Genomic DNA, 18,361 nt, shown 5'->3' with positions numbered 1-18,361 from the left:
AAATCTAGGACCTCTCACCCTACAAAGCCTCCACTTCATTGGCTGAGCTGCACTAGGTGGCTCATTGACTCATACATCCTATGGCTTCATTTGAGACTCTGGGCTAGGGACTGATTAGAGCTTTGTCTCCAAAATGCTGAAGGTTTCCAGATGAATTGGCCTCTATAAGAGTTCTGATTAAATGGTATATAAAATAATGGAGAACTCTTTTGCTTATTTTAACTTTGGGAAAAAAAAAGTTGGAGAAACTAGACTCTTCACTTCTATGCAAGATATTTTCCAGTTCTAAGATATTTCTATTCCTGCTTCTTTACCATGCAACAGCAATAGTAACACAGGGACATTAATGCGTAACACCTGTATGGAGATAAAGATGTGTCAGAAATTATTCTAAGCATTTCAAATATATTAGTTCATGTAATCCTCACAATAGTGCTATGGGACATGCATAATATTATTATTCCATCATTATTATTCTGATTTTGAGGTTAGACATTGAGAGATTAAGCAATTTACTGGTGTTCTAATCCAGGTACTCTGGCTCCAGGGTTAGTGTGCTAAACAATAGTAAGTATGAAATAGTAAGGATTACCTTGCATAGATATTTAGAGTTTACAACAAGTGTTCACATATATTATCTCATTTTATTACCACAAGAATCTACTAGAGTAGACAAAGAATATCTATTATTCCTTCATCACTGGGAGGCTGTAATATAATAGCTAAGAGCATGAACTTTGAATTTAGAAAAATATAGGCTTGAATTTTTGCTCTGAATTTCTGAGTCTCTATTTCTTCACCAGTAAAATGGGGGTTACAATGCCATTTTATAAAATTTTTGTGAGGAGTAAATGAAATAATGTAAACAAAGCACTTCATGCTGCACTGAGTAAATGTTAACAGCTAGCCTTCCTCCCTTCTTTCCTTCCTTCTTTTCTTTCTTCCATACTTCCTTCCCTCTCTCAATAAATACTGGGCTTTGTATCTGTACTAAATTATATACACACAAAATTATACATATATTTTTATATATGATATATGGATACTCATATATTAAATCTATTTTATATAAAATATAAAACATAATATAATCAGTTTACTCTCTAAACCCTATTTCAGGCATTGGTGAGAATAAATTAAGTTAGAGATTGAGTTGAAAGAATAAGTAGTATAGTTAAAAGTATATTTATTGTGTACCTCTTATGAGCAGGTATTGTACTAGGAAGGGAACGTGGGTATAAAAATAATTAGATGTGATCCCTACACTCAAGCAGCACATACTACTTGATGAATGAAAGCAAGAAAACTTATTGAGGGCTCACTCTGTGCCAAGTACTGTATATTACTTATGAAATCTCATTATGATCTCATTTGGCTGCTGAGGAAACTGAGGCTTGGAGAAATAGGTAGAGTGATTTTCTCTAGATCATTGTTATCTGATAATATTTTCTAGGTAATGTAAATATTCTATTTGTGCTGTCCAATATGGACACTAGACTGTTGATTACTTGAAATGTGGCCAGTGCAACTCAGAAACTGAATATTTAATTTTATGTAATCTTAATTCATTTACATTTAAATAGCCACCTGTAGCTGGTTGTTGCCATATTGGAGAGGGCAGCTGCAGAAGATGAAATAGCTGGAAGTAGTAGACTCTGTGCCATCTGAGCCCTGCTCTTCTTGACTGCAAAGCCAGGATTTTTTTTTTTCCATTATGTGAGTAAGCACGGCTCAAGGCTTCCAAATTTTTCCTAATGTGTTAGGGGAAAACCCCTTGCCAGCAGAAGACAGGCAGTCCTGATGGCGGGGGTAGTGTGAAGAACATCCACCCACACATGGCACACACATTTCCTCCTTGCTCAGAGCGAGGACTGGGACTGTGAGCACTCATCCTTTTATACTACAGCCCTAAAAACTAGGAAGCTTTTGCATGCGTGGATTTCCCTTTGTTGCAATAGCAATCTTTGAAAAATTTCTAGTGTTATTGACACAATAAGAAGACCAACTAACATCCTAAGTAGGGAGGACTTCTGAAATCCTTTAGTGGGAAAATAGGAAAAAGGCTGCTTGTTGTTAGGGTGAGGCATTATAACACTATAGGCCAAAGGCTTTTAGATTTTCTTGTTGCCATCTTCAGGATTTCAAAAGCCGTATCACCAACAATACGTTTGTTGCCAACCTGACTATAAAGATGTGATGACTCAATTCTTCCTATGGCCTAGGCTGACAAAAAGACTTCAGAATTCTAAATAAATACAGTTGGCCCTTGAACAACATGGGTTTGAACTGCACGGGGCCACTTACACCAGACTTTTTTTCAACCAAACATGGGTGGAAAGTATTCATGGCATGTATACACGGGTGCCACAGGGCCAGCTACTGGACTTGAGTATGCACGGATTTGGGTATATGTGGGAAGTTCTACTACCACAGGTCCTTGTTACAACAGGGACGACTGTAGTAGCATTTGTTTTTTGGTCTTTACTATTGCTATCATTATTATTAATAATAAGGCATTTAGTTTGTATAGGAAACACCGGTCAGGGCAGGTGTTAGGTACATTACCATACATACAGAGAATTTGTGTGTGTAAGGCAGTAAATAGCCTTATAATTTCTGGAAAAATGATTTATTCACTAATTTATTCATTCAGCCAATACTGATAGTTAACAAAATTCAGAAACAATCAAATAAAATACTGACAGATAGGTGCCAGAAAGAAAATGCTCAGGAAGCTGCAGTAGTAGAGAAAGAACTACTTTGGACAAGATAGTTAGGAACTTTCTGAAGAGATGACCTAAAGCTCACACATAGATGTTGAAGGGCAAGCCATGAAAGTGACTGGGAAGAGCATTCTGAGCAGAGGACGTTTTAAAAAAGGCTCTGACGCACACCGGATCTTGAAACATTCAAGGGTAATTATCAAATTTCTGATGCTTATCAGATGTTTAAGAGAGGATGTCAAGTAGGCAATTGGATATGCAGATATAGAACTCAGGGGAGAGGACTTGTTGGATAAATAAATTTGGGAGTCATCAATCATAGATGGTATTAAAATAATGTGGCTGGATGAGATCACTTATAAGCTGTGTAGGTAGGAAAGAAACAAAGGACTAAGACAGAACCTGAGGAACTACAACATTTAGAGATTAAGCAAAAAAGTAAGGCAATACAAAGAAAAATTAAAAGCAGAAGCTCAGAAAATGAGAGGAAAATCAGGACTGGTGTCATAAAAGCCCTAAAGGAAATAGTCTTTTGAGGAAGAGGTGGCCAAAGAGGACAAACCCTACTGGGAGTAACATGCAGCCGAGGACCCACTGGATTTGGCAGGAGAGAAGACCACTGACAAACTTGTTAAGGGAAGTTCCATCAAGGTAGTAGAGATGGAGGCCTATTATAGTGTACTGAAGAGTGAAAGGGGAAATACTCTCTTGTATATTTCACTTTTTTCTTTGTGAACTTTTGCTGTAAAGAAAATAGAACATGACAGTAGCTGGAAGGGGATGTGGAATCAAAAGTTTTTAAGGTGAACAATATTTGAGAATATGTTGATGGAAAGGATTCAACAGAGTGGAAGAGACGGGCAATGCAGAATAGAAAGAGGGTAATCAAAGAACTAGCATTCATGAGAAATGAGAATGAAACTGAGCATAGCTGAGCAGCTGGTCCTTGGAAGGAAGAGAGATTGTAACTGTAGGGAGGGAGGAGAAGAAACATCCAGAGGAAGGAAGGGTTATAGATTAACAGTGGGGAAAGGAGGAGCTACCCTTTATTGGCTTCATTTTCTCACTGAAATCAGGCAAGGGCATCAAATGAATGTTAGGACTGTGGAAGGAGGCAGAGTGCTTGAGAAGAGCAAAAATATAAAACGGTTGTCTTGAAAATGTAGGAAGTAAACTACCCAAGTAATCGGTCGTAATGTTCATCAGTGTTGAGTGCCCAATTGGGACTCAAGATTTGTGATTACAGTGTTAAAGTGAAGTAGACTCTTAATTGTGTAATTTTCCTCTAGGAGTGGGCACAGAGGAGACAGTTAGATTCAGCCAGAGTTGGAACTTTGTCATGTGAAAGAGGGGCAAAGGGGTTGAGACTTTTGTAAAGGAATTATTAAAATGATAGGCCCAGGAAAACTTGACGAGGTGGGTCAATGGCTTAGAAATCGAGAATTGTTGCATGAAGTTGCTAGAGAAAGTAAGCAGGAAGGGTTGGAGGTGAGGATCACAAAGCGAGATGCTTGAAAATGAAATTTAGGAGGTGGTGCATTTACTGGGGATGCCAAGGCTCAGACTGTGACCATGGGAATGAAAAAGAAGGTCATTGGAGGAGAAGTGGTCAAGCAACTGACAAACTGGGGTGTTGACTGGGCCAGCAAGATGGCTGATGCAGAAATAATAATGCCAGATTTTAGAGTAGAAAGTTTGAATTATTTAGGATTTGGTATGAAATTCATGCTTTTTCTTTGCTCTATGAGATGCAGCAGTGTGGTAGAGTCAGGGCTCCAGGTTTTGAATTCTATCACTTAAAGTGTGGCAATTTTCTCCTTTCCTTTATCCTCAACTCTCTCCCTTTTTTCCTTCCTTTCTTTTTGAGAGTCTCCTAGATTTCAAGCATCATGCAAGGTGATAGGGATATAATAGAAAGGAGACATAGCATCTGCTTCATAAGGCTTATACCAGAGATAGAGGCAATCCAATAATTAGGCAAATGTATACTTATGAAATGTGCCAAATGTTGTAAAATAAAGTATTAGTGGCTATTAGATTTTGTAACAAATAATCTGCCTTCATTAAGGGGGAGAGAGAGTCAGGGAAGCTTTCCCTGAGGAAAGGATGTTTGAGATGAGATCTTGAAGGATGAATAGGAGTTAACTTGGACTGTGGTGTAGGGCTAGGAGAGATGGGGATTATGTTACAGGCAGAAGGACCTGCATATGCAAAATTGCTGGGTTTAAAGGGATCTTGTCCTTTGGAAAAACTGACATATAAGATTAGTGTGTCTGGAACTTAGACAGCAAAGGCATGAGATGGGGTTGAAAAGCTGAGTGGAAGCCAGGCTTTGCAACACAATTTAGGTTACATAAAGATTTTGGTCTTTAACTCAAAAGTGACACGAATAATTTGAAAAGGTTTGTGTAAAGAAGTTGCACAGTGTTAGTTGTATTTTTCAAGAGACCATTTGCTACTGTGTAATGAAAATTGAAGGATGATAGAGGTGAACTTGGAAATTATCTGTAGTCAATGGTAGTAAGCCCAGGTGAGAGAATAATTAGCCTCAGGGTAAAAAATGTTGGGTGGAAAGAAGTGAATGGACTTGAGGAATAATTAGAAAAGTAGGACTATAAGATGGTATGAATGAGCAGATTGCATGGAAAGGAAGGAATCAAGAATTATGTTAATTTTAGGTTTATGGCATCTCACCAAGCTTTGTCTTCATCTCCATAACAGAAATTACATATGTGAAAGTGCATTATAGCATGCTATTTTTATTATCTGTGAGAATATTTAGGAGTGAACTATATACTAATAAGCTAATCATCAGATGGTCTATTTCTCAAAGTAGATGGTAAGATCCTTGAGGACAGAGACTAACTATACATTATTTTGTGTCTCTAGTTCATATAATATTATACCCGTCACAGGGTAATTAGTTTTGCCCTCTGTGTTGGTCCTTGATCTTTTTGCCCTGAGATTCAGCCGTACACTTCCCTACTTGCTTTTATATTGTAGTGGGCTGGTTCCTGAAGTCTCTTACCTTAGGCTCCTACATCAACCAGCTAGCTTCTGTCTGGATTTGCCTGTTGCAATGTACTGGAGAGATTGCAATAGGAAGAAGGGAGAAGCCAGGGGTTTTCTCTCTGTGTCTTGGGTAGTATCTGAGGCCCTTGACTCATGGTGATTCTAGGTTCAGCCAGGTGACCTGGATGCTTAGGTACTTGTCTTTGTTTTTTAAGCCTAGGGGTGGTAGTAACTCCCTGCTGTTGCTAATCTCTGGGGTGCCTCATGGTCTCTTCTGCAGCCTCTCACTCTTTCATCACCTCTGTAACCAATCTCTCATATTAAAATTTTCTATTTTAGACATTTAGAATAGTTTTTGTTACATCCTGTGAGGTTAGATCTTGACTTATACACACATGGGCCAACTTTGATTAATTGTCAAATAGCATTCTTTTCCACAATGCAATATTTATATACAAATAACCTTCGACATTTTAAAACAATAAAAAACAAGATACTTTCAACATAAACAAATATCAAAATTATAAACAAACTTAGAATGGTATTCCTTATAATTTAGCAATAACAACATTAATTATAAGTTTTTTCAACTTATTTTTTCAGCAGACTGAGCTTCAGAGCTGAGACAAATGTTTCATTTAGTGTTCTTTAAATAGCATTTAGCTAGTTCTAATTTGAAGAAAAAACGTTCATCAGTAGAGACAGAGAGAGAAATCAAAAAATAAAATAAACAAGTAACATACTTTGGAAAAACTTGTCATTATGTCATAGTATTACATGCTATCTTGGCAAATTTATGGATAGTTTTAATTTTTTGTTTCACTTGGTAATGGTTTTATATAAAACAGTGATATCATGGGCAAGGATTCTGTTATGTTGCTTGAAAATTTACTTGGAGTCTTCTCTGTGTTCCTTACAATAGACTTTTTCAAGATAGCATTATTAATTGATTTACTGATATACTTACTGGCTTATTAAAAATTTATGGAATGACTACTGTATTTTCCTTAAAAAATAAAATATTTACATACAGAACAATTCTTTAATGGACCTTCCTTGAACGTTAATGAGGTTATCAATCTATTTTTGAAATAATTTATTCAGGTGAAATTCATATAACAAAATTACCCATTTTACAGTGAACAACTCAGGGCAGTTAGTACATCCATAATATTGTGTAATTATCACCTCTATATGGTTCCAAAACATTTCCATCATTCCCAAGTAGAACTCTTTAGCTATTAAGTGCTTTCTTCCCATTCCCTCTCCCTCTAGGCCCTGACAACCACCAATCTTCATTCTTTATGGATTTACCTAATCTGGATATCTCATAAAAATAAAATCAGATGAGATGAGACCTTTTGTATCTGGTTTGTTTCATGGCTGAATAATAATCCACTTGCATGTACAGTCGTCCTTTGGTATCCATGGGGGATTGGTTCCAGGATTGGTTCCGGGTAGTATTTGCATGTGACTTATGCACATCCTCTCATATACTTTAAATTATCTCTAGATTACTTATAATGTTTACTGCAATGTAAATACTATATACAAATTGTTACACTATATCATTTAGGAAATAATGACAAGAAAAAAGGTATGTACATGTTCAGTACAGACACAATGTTTTTGAATAGTTTTGATTCATAGTTGGTTGAATCCATGGATGAAAAACCCAGGATATGGAGGGCTAACTGAATATAATACACATTTGTTTATCCTTTCATCTGTTGATGGACATTTGAAATGTTTCTATCTTTTGGCTATTGTGAATAGTGCTGCTATTAACAATTATGTGCACATGTACTTGTTTGCATACCTGTTTTTATTTCTTTTGAGTATAGCCCTAAAAGTGGAATTGTGGGGTCATATGACAATTTTGTGTTTAACTTCTTGAAGAATTGCCAAATTATTTTCCATGGTAGCTGAACTTTTGTACATTCCTAACAGCAGTGTACAAGAGTTCCAATTTATCTGTGTCCTGGCCAATACTTGCTCTTTTCTGCTTTAAATATTACTATAGTCGTCCTAGTGGGTGTGAGGTAGAACTTCATTGTAGTTTTGATTTGCTTTTCCCAAATGACTAACAATGTTGAGCATTTTTTCATGTGCTTGTTGGCCATTTGTATATCTTCACTGGTGAGGTGTCTATTTAAGTCCTTTGCCCCACTTTTAAATTGGGTTGTTTGTCTTTTTGTTGTTGAGATGTGGGAGTTTGTTATATATTCTGGATACTAGGCTTTCGTCAGATATATCATTCGCAAATATTTTCTCTTATTCTGTAGGTTTTCTTTTCACTTTCTTTTTAATGTCCCTTGAAACACAAAGGTTTTAAATTTTGAAGAAGTCTAATCTATCTGCCTTTTCTTTTGCTGCTAATGCTTTTGATGTCACATCCAAGAATCCATTGCCAAACTCCTTTGGTAATGATGAAGACTGATCTGCTTTTATTTCATTAATTTTTTAAAAATAAATTTTATTATGTATATTTAAGGCTTATAACATGATCATGTTATGGAATACATATAGATAGTAATAAGGTTACTATATGGAAGCAAATTAACATATCCATCATCTCACAGTTACTTTTTTTGCATGTGGCAGGAGCAGTTAAAATCTACTCATTTGGTATGAATTGCAAATACAGTGCAAGTTTATTGTTTATCTCCCTCATGTTATACATTACATTTCTAGACCTGTTTATTCTACATATCTGCTACTTTGTACCCTCGACCTACATCTCCCCATTTCCTTCCCATTTATACTCTTCCCTGCCATTGGTAACCAATATTTTGTTCTCTGTATCTGTATATTTAATTTTTTTAGATTCCATATATAAGTGAGATAATGCAATATTTTTCTCTTTGTGTCTAGCTTATTTTACTTAGTATAATGTCCTCCAAGCTCATCCATGTTGTAGAACATGGTAAGAGCTTGTTATTTTTTAGGGCTTAATAATATTCATATATATATGCCACTATTTCTTTACCATTCATTCATCAATAGACACTTAGGTTGTTTCCATATCTTGGCTATTTTGCATAATGCTGCAATGAACACAGGAAGGAGATATATTTATAAGATAGTGATTTTATTTTCTTTGGGTATTTGCCCAGAAAAAGGTGTGCTGGGCCATATGGTAGTTCTATTTTTAATTTATTTAGAAATCTCCATACTGGTTTTCATAATAATCATACCAGTCTTCATTTTCACCAACAGCACACAAGAGCTCCCTTTTCTCCACACCCTCACCAACATTTATCTTTTGACTTTTTAGTAGCCATGCAAACCAATATGAGGTAGTATCTCATGATGGTTTTGATTTGCATTTCCCTGATTAATGATGTTGAGCACCTATTTGTATCCCTTTTGGACATTTTTTTAACTTCTTTTGAGAAATGTCTGTTTAAGTCTTTTGCCCATTTTAAAATCAGCTTATTTGTTTTACTGCTATTGAGTTGTATGAGCTCTTTATAAATTTTGCACATTAAGCCTTTATTAGGTATATGGTTTGCAAATATTTTTCCCTATCTGTAGGCTGCTATTTCCTTTTGTTGATTGTTTCCTTTGCTGTGCAGAAGGTTTTTGGAATGATGTAGTGCCATTTATTTATTTTTGAATTTTTTGCCTGAGCTTTTAATGTAATATCTAAGAAGTTATTGCCAAGACTAATATTCAGGAGTTTTCCCCCATATTCTCTTCTAGGAGTTTCTATAATTTCTAACCTTATATTTAAGCTTTTTATCCATTTTGAGTTGGTTTTTGTGCATGGTATAAAATAAGCACCCAATTTCATTCTTTTGCATGTGGAAATAGTTTTCTCAGCATCATTATTTGAAGAGACTATTCTTTCCCCATTGTGTCCTCTTGGTGCCTTTGTCAGAAATTAGTTGACTGTAGCCATGTTACCTATAGAGGGGTCCAAATGGTGCTGTTGTGGATTTCTGCCATAACTTAAAGGGAAACTTTCACAATGTCCAAAGCCCTTGATGTCCTACAAATGAAAGAGGAGGATGTTCTTAAGTTTTTTGCTGCAGGAACCCATTTAGGTGGCAACAACCTTGACTTCAAAATGGAACAGTACATCAATGAGAGGAAAAGTCATGGCATCTACATCATAAATATGAGGAGGACCTGGGAGAAGCTTCTGCTAGCAGCTTGTGTCTTTGCTGCCACTGAAAACTCTGCTGATGTCAGTGTCATATCCTCCAAGAGTACTAGCCAATGGGCCTTGTTAAAGTTTGCTGCTACCATTGAAGCTACTCCTATTACTTGCTGCTTCACTGAAAACATCACTAACCAGATCCAGATGGTCTTTTGGAAGCCATGGGTTCTGATTGTTACTGAGCCCAGGGTTGACCTCCATCCTCTCATAGAGGCATCTTATGGTAACCTGCCTACCATTGGTTTGTGTAACACAGATTCTCCTCTGCACTATGTGGATATTGCCATCCCATGCAACAACAAGGGAACTCACTTAGTGGGTTTGATGTGATGGATGCTGGCCTGGAAAATGATTTGCATGTGTGGCACCATTTCCCGTGAACACCTATGAGGGGTTATGCTTGATCTATACTTCTACAGAGATCCTGAAGACCTTAAAAAGGAAGAACAGGCTGCTGCTGAAAAAGCTGTAACCAAGTAGGAATTTTAGATTGAATAGACTGCTTCAGCTCCTGAGTTTACTGCTACTCAGTCTGAGATTGCAGACTGGTGTGAAGGTGTGCAGCGTGGGTGCCCTCTGTGCCTATTTAGTAGTTCCCTGCTGAAGACTGGAGTGCTCAGCCTGCCATGGAAGACTGGTCAGCAGCTCACACTGCTCAGGCCACTGAATGGGTAGGAATGACCACTGAGTGGTTTTAAGATGTTTTTCCACAGACTGTTAAGCAACACAAAAATAAGGTTGATGGAAAATAATCATCAGGTTCTTACAAAATTTAGTTGACTGTATATGTTTGGATTTATTTCTGGGTTCTCTATTTTGTTCCACTGGTCTATGTGTCTGTTTTTACGCTAGTACCATACTGTTTTGATTATTATACCTTTGTGATTTAATTTAAAATCAGGAAATATGATGCTCCCAGTTTTGTTTTTCTTACTTAGAATTGTTTTGACTATTTTAAGTTTCTTATGTTTCTATATAAATTTTGGAATTGTTTTCCACTACTACTGTAAAGAATACCATTGGGATTTTCCCAATTTCATTGAATTATTTATTTGTGTTCTTGTATATTTTGCTTAGTTTCCTTAAGACCATTATTTTGAATTCCTTTTTGTGTATTTCATAAATTTTTATTTCTTGAATTCCTTTTCATGTATTTCATAAATTTTCATTTCTTTGGGGTCAGTTACTGAAGAATTATTGTGTTCCTTTGGTGGTTTCATGTTTTCTTGCTTTTTTGTTTTTTGTTTTTCTGCATTGATGTCTCAAATCTGATGGTGCAATCACCTCTTCCAAACTTTAAAGAGTAGCTTTTGTAGGGGAAGACTTTCACCTTCAGATGGGCTTGAGATGGCTGGGTAGGTAGGATGCAGTGGCTCTGGTTCCTTGTGAGTACATGATGTAGTCTCCATCCAGCTTCTTTTGTGATCAGTGTCCACAATGACTACAAGTGCCTCTATGTTCTAGGCTGCAGGAATTTGTGGCAGTGACAGTGGCTGTGTAGGTTATAAAGGCCAGGGCTTTAGCAATACTTTTGTTCTTGTCTTTCTCTCAGTGGAAAGTTTTAGCTGAGGGGATATCTGTTGATGTTGGGTCTGACACAGCCCTCAGGCAGCTGCAACAACACTGGGATCCACGGTACTAGTGCTTGGAACAGCTGTGGGGTCAGGTTCCTGGGCTCAGTGAAACTGCTGTAGCAACTGGGACTTGAGGCAGAGGTTCACTTTTCAAGGTCCAAGTGGATGCAGTTCTCCCACCAAGACAGGATCTGTTGCTCTGAGGCACACCCCAGTAGCTCAGGCCCAGAGGCTTGGGATGTGGTTGTGGTCTGTCCCTGGTGAGCAGGGAATAGCACTGGCATGTCTCGGGGGAAAAAATGGGTGCTTCAGTGGCTTAGGCTCCAAAGAGCAGGACTCAGCTGCAATTCGGGACCCCAAACCAACAGGGCACAGTGACTCTGGAATGAAGAGGATGGGGTATCTTTGTGGTAGCTTGGACCTAGTGGGTAGAGCAGAGCAGCAGTTTGTCTCAGGGGTGACTTGTTACCAGGTAGGCACATTGCAGTGGCAGCAAAACCTCAGGGATGAAGGAGTGCAATAGCTACTCACCCCTAATGTAGGATGCACTCTGGCAGTGACTCCGGTTTTAAGGTGGTAGAGTGCAGTAGCAGCATGGGTCACAGGAGCTAGGGGCACAGTAATGGCTTTTTCTCTGAGGGTAGCTTAGTGTGGACTCTGAGGAGCTTCCTCAGCTAGGTTCAGAGCCTGTGAGTACTGCAGCAGTCTCTGCTAGTGAAGACTCAGGTATTCATGATGGTGATGGCAGGTGCTGGGATCTTCTTATTTACTTTTTCTCTGCAAGAGGGACTCCCTCCTGGTTCTGAGCTGATTCCAGCTGAGTGATGGGGATACTGGAGGCAAGATGTTTCCTTGCTTTCTCTATGTGGCCATCCTGGGTTTCAATGCTCCACAGGATTTCTGCCACTTCTTTGCTGTTCTCTGGAGCTCTCTTTTAGTTATTTTGGTCAAAATATAGTTGCTTATTCCTTGTGGGTATTTTTTCTTTGTGGGGAGGAAAGAGTGCTAGGAGCTTCTAGTTGGCCATCTTACTGATGTCACTCTCCAATCTACTTTTAATGTTTGTAAATTTTTGAATATGTCTTTTATATCATGTACAACTTGACCGATATAAAACCATATATATACATATGTGCACATATTTATATGTATGTGTGATATATGACACATATTCCTTTCCAAAATATCTTTTAATTTATTGAATCATTGGATTTTTTAAACAATGTCATGAAGTACACAAAGCAATGGTGATTACTCTCCTTTTAAAGATTAAAAAACCTAAACTTTAAGGAGGAAAACTGCCTGCCAATGACTTATGAATGGCAAATAGCAGATAAAAGATGTAAGTTCAGCCATTTGATGCCAATCATGTGTCTCTCATTTTACCATCTTGTTTCACTAGATTGTTCCAGTATATTTGCTGAATAATGTGAAGGACAAGAAAGAAAACCAACATTTGTTGTGTCTCTAGTATGCACAAGACTTAATTAAGGTGCTCTTACATGCACCATTGTACAGCTCTTATACCATCCTAGAGGTGGATGTTGATATTCTGATTTTAAGATGAGGAAAATGAGGCTCAGAGAGTTTGCAATTCACTGTGTATTGTAAAATAGCCAGTATCAGAACTTTTGTTCAATCCCTAACTGGCATGATTCCTTGTGATAATAGAGCACTTAAAAGAGAGCCTAGTGGCATGGGATTGTTTCAAAGACAGATAGTAATAGAATAAAACCCCCAAACGGGATGTGATATCATAATTTTCTTCTTTGTCTTCAATCTCTTGTGTTTAATAAAATCTGAACATTTGTTTCTTACTCTTACACCTCATCTGCTTAAGTGATGTCTTGCTTTTTAAAATTACCCCTTCGACCAGTATCCTTTTCCTGACAATATTAAATACTCCCCCAACCAGGGATGTGGAACCATTTTTCACAGCTTCAGCCTCCAGTTCCAGCTGGCCAGGCCCTATGGTATAGCTCTCCCAGTCACCATGGATCCTCATCTGGTACTTAACAAATCCTGCCCCTCTCATCCATATTCTTGGCACAAGGACAGGAAATTAAAAATTAAGAGAAATTCACCTCTGACCTTTAATTTACTTTTTAATAAAAGCATTTTGAGTCACTTACATGCTTTATGCCAGACCCAAGGAGAGCCAATTTTCATGGCCCTTTAAAAGTAAACCCATTCATCTTCATGCCCTGGCATTTTTTCAGTGTGTCAATCCTCAAAGTCAATTGTTAGCCCAGAGCAGTGGTCCGTGATAAAATCCCATTCAGTGCCCAGCACATAATAGGTGCATGAGCATTGACTGTGCTCAATGAATATTAGTTGTTCTTGAAAAGTGAATGACAGTGCCCTACATAGCAAAATAAATTAATGATTAAAAGATACATCTAATGAACTCCTAACTGGGACTTACTAGAGTTATTCAACTGATGCAGCCAAATTGTTACATTTTCAAAGAATGGATATGTAGATATATTCAATTTATATAAGAATTAGGTTAATTGAATATGTTGAATACTGATAATTTGCTTGGATCTGTGTTAGACACATTGTACTGATAGCCACCATCATCCTTAAAGTCATTCTGTGGTTCCCCTTAACACGTGGAGTCAGGTAACTGGCCCACTGTCTCACTGCAGGATAGGGGGCTAGGTGTTTGCCTAGGACTGACTTTTAAGCTTTTCAAGGATATCTTGCTTATATTGGGTGATCTGTGACTTTTCTTATGGCATAAGCATCAGTCACACCCAAAAATATATGTACATATATAGTTTGTTTATAAAGGCCATTGGGAAAAAAATTCTCAAGAACATCTGAGAAAGCTGTGAGGACAATGTCATTAAGTCTGGTTCTTTTGTTTTTTCAGATTCCATATCCATTCTCCAGGCCCCCCACCCTTGTTTCTTCATTCCTAAGGCATTGTAAATATAGCAAACTCTGCATGTATGTGTGTGTTTGTGTGTGTGTGTGTGAGTGCACGCACATGCATGTGTGGTGGTGGTAGGGGCTGATGGAAGCAGGCTGGCCTCAGAGCACTTGAGCAGGCTGTATTTGTGGCCTACAAGGAAAGTCCATGTGGGGAGAGAGCTATGTTGCCTAGTGGAAAAAGCACTGCACAAGGATTTTTATGAACTGGCTTTGAATCCTGGCCCTACTACTTAGGAACTGTAGCCACTTAACACCTCAGTTGGCATTTCAATTACTAAAAGTGAGAATTCACTTCCTTATACTTCATGCCACCCAGGTATCTTATGAGAATCAAATAAAACACCACCTATGAAAATTGCTTTGGGCATTGAGGAGAGTTGTTCATTTGTAAGGCTTTATTGTGTAAACCACTGCTCTTTCTATCTGCCTCTGCTTGCCCTCTCTCACACAACTCGTGGTTTCTAGCATCCCGGAGGTGGTATAGTTCATGTTTAGTGCAAACATGTCTCTGCTTCATTTTCCATTTTTTAATTTATTCTCAACCATCAACCATTTCCTCCAGGGTCTCTCATGTTCTAGAAGCATGATTTGGGGAAAAGAGTATGAATTTTTGATTTACAGAGGGTGTGAATCCTGACTGTATCTGTACAGCTTTGAAACAGTCAGCTAACTTCTCTACACATTCAGTTTCCCTATCTGTAAAACAGAAATAATTTCCATGATTTATCGGGACTTGGCTGAGTGCTGGAGGGAACACATGGCTCAATAAATCAGCCATTATTTTCTTCAAGACATTTTCTCTGCCATCGAAGAGCTCACAGTTTGGAAATGGAGATAAGACTTTTAAAAAAGATTATTCTAAATCAGGGAGAGATTAACTGGCTGGGAGGGAGCAACATCTCAGTGATTGAGCAAGGCATGACTTAACTGAAGGCACCTAGCTGGTGAGCGGCAGAATGTAGCCTTGACTCCAAATTTCCTAGGGACTTTCCAACAAGGTAAACATCTTTAAGTTATGAAACTATTGTTTGGGCCTTGATTTTTAAGAAGATATTTAAGAATGTTTCCCGAAGTTAGTAAGTTTTCTGAACAAGAGAGGACATGGGAAATCCCACAGCAGTCTAAGGAGCATGGGCATAGTACTCATAGAATGAGAAGTGTGGTTTATTTTTTCCTTAAATAAAATAATTAAATGTTTTGCATGGAATTAAATGTTTCTGAGACGGAGAGTTCTGGCACCGAAAAGTTGTTTGATTTTACAACAAATGGTTAGTGTCAGAAAATTACTCATTGGTTGGCCAATCTAGGACTCTTTAGTGGTCTTGTCCTGGTTGACAGGAATGCAGGCTCTCATCCAGTCAGCATGATGCAGTTGTGTGTTGTTTCAGGTAGCAAATGTTATGTCCATTATGCAACAATCCTACTACAGTCAGCTTCTCTTGACTCTGCCTTCCTGCTTCTCTACCTTTCCCCACCAAATGCCCACAGCATGATTATATCTACCTATGTTTGGTTCTTATGCATGATGATGTCCTTGAGAGATCACCTTGAATATCATCATGAAGCAGGATGAAATAGGATTTTCAATGCCCTTCTTTAATAAGCCAAATAACAGCTCCCAAAGATAGCAGGCCCTAATTCCTGGAATCTGTAACTATTACCTTATTTGGAAAATGGTCATTGGCAAGTTGATTAAACAAAGGATCTAAAGATGGGGATATCATGGGTTTTCTGGGTGGGCCCTAAATACGATCACGGATGTCTTCTAAGAGAGCACCAGAGGGAGATTTAATATAGAACAAGAGGAGAAGACAATGTGACCACAGACATTAGAAGCAGATTGGAGTGATGCAGACATAGGCCAGGAATGCCAGTAGCCATTGAAGGCTGAAGGAGGTAAGGAAGGGTTCTCCTCACGAGCACCTGGAGGTGGCGCAGCCCTGCCAACACCTTGATTTCAAACTCTGGCCTCTAAAACACAGAGAATAAATTTCTGTTGTTTTAAACCACTAAGTTTGTGATAATTTGTTACAGGAACTATAGGAAATGAATACACCCTCTATCTCCTTTCTGTAACAATTCCTCCATTCTCAATACTACTGAGAATGTTTAAATGTTATTTTTAACAAAAGGTTTTATAAAATCAGCCCGTTTGCATTTTAGGACATCATGAGAGGCACCATGTTATAGTAAGTAGAGCTGGAAGGGCCCTCAGAGACCATGCAAACTTCTGATTGTAAACCAACAAGCCAGTAGAGAAGGTATTGTGCTCACGATCACTCAGTAAGTTAGTAGTATCATCAAGGCCTACGCCAAGAGTCAAGCCTCCTAACTTTGGTCAAGTGCTTTGTCCACCACAGATAAAGGGACATAGCTACCCCTTTATAATTGCTGAGGATTTCTGGCTCAGCAAGTAGGTAGGAGAGAACGTATTTAAGCTTGTTAGAAGAATGTGACTTTTTTAGTGAATTGTAGATTGGTCCTTTCACTCTGGTTAACAAAACTCATGAAACATTTTGGAGAATAGAAGACAACAACAGCTTTTTCTTTGAGAAACAGATGTGATTAAATATGTCTCATTTGGCAAGATATCCCTGATACACAGTGTGGTTACGTATGTGGACTGTGAGATCACAGGGCCTGGCTAGAATTCTGCCTCTGCTACTTTCTAGTGCTGTGAACTTGGGCAAGTTACTTTCCAGGAGCCTCAGGTTTTTTAGCTGCTAAATAGAGGTAGTAATAGTACTTGCCTCTGACTATTGTGAGGACTAAATAAGATGCTGTATGTAAAGTTGTCTTGCCCGGTGCCTGGCAATTAGCCAAGGCTCCATATTTTTAATCTATTATTATATAAGATAGTAAATTGTAGCAAAGTACATAGGATTTTGGCTTTTTAATATTTCTTGTTTGGACATTTTACAGTATAATCAGGAAAAACAGTAAAGATGAAAAGCAGGTCTGACTCACAGCAAGCAGAACCTGCCCTGAGGCTCCCTGGTCTCCAGTGCAGCAGCTGTTGACAGTATTGTCAGGCTCCCAGAACTGTTGGGAATCCTCGGACCTCTCTTCTGGGAAATGCGTGGCTATAAATGTTCATTAAATGAATAAATAAACAAGATCAAAGACAGCTTGATCCTGGGGGGAGTAAGGTGAGCCCATTCCTGTAACCTAAGCTCCAAGTTGTATGACGACCTGACATTGTCTAGAGGGCTCAGAGCTGGTAGTAAAGGAAACTGCACTCTCATCCCAGCTGAGCCACTCAGAGCTTGTGTCTGGGACATATACGCTCTTAAGCTTATTTTCTTCTTTCTCAAACACACAGCCCCCTCATAAGGCTCAAACAGGGTAAAAGATATAAAAGCACTTAGTAAGCAGATAGCAAATCAAAAAAGGACACTATTTTATAGCTTATCAATTACCAAGTTCAACAGAGGGTACTTCTGAAGTATATTTCAATTCTGTTGATTCTGTTCAATTTTCACAATATTAATTCATGTTCTCATTGCTTCCCTCTTGTCTGTTTGCATCATAGTTGGTCTTCCCAATTCTTGTGGTTTTTCTCTGTATATTCTAACTGAATAATCTTCCTTAAACACACCTCCTGCCATGATATTTCACCACTGAATCTGTCTATAGCTCTCATTCACTTATTATATGAAAAGGAAAGCATTTATCAAGGTACAGAGCCATCTGTTTTAACTAAAAAGCCCCAAAGGGAGCTGCGAACTTTGTTTTCCTGGCCCTATTGCTGAGATGCCATTCCTCTGGTCCCTAACAGGGAAGCTTTGAGTGACCCATCCTGCTGGAAAAAAAAGAAAAAAGGCTTTTGTTCCTGTTCCTTTGCCTTCAGTCCTGTTCCTGGCTTCTAATCCCAGTTTAGACCTGAAAAATGGCTACTGTAATTTGACCAGTTGCTGATCTTTTTCTTGAATATATTTCATACTTAC

At 38.2% G+C, this 18,361-nt stretch overlaps 1 pseudogene; it reads left to right on the top strand.

The window, feature by feature from the left end:
* RPSAP20 (ribosomal protein SA pseudogene 20) lies at window positions 9,636–10,693 on the top strand (annotated as a pseudogene).

The sequence above is a fragment of the Homo sapiens genome, chromosome 1, assembly GCF_000001405.40.
Source record: "Homo sapiens chromosome 1, GRCh38.p14 Primary Assembly".
Taxonomy (NCBI): Eukaryota; Metazoa; Chordata; class Mammalia; order Primates; family Hominidae; genus Homo; species Homo sapiens.
This window is presented reverse-complemented; position numbering and strand designations above follow the sequence as displayed.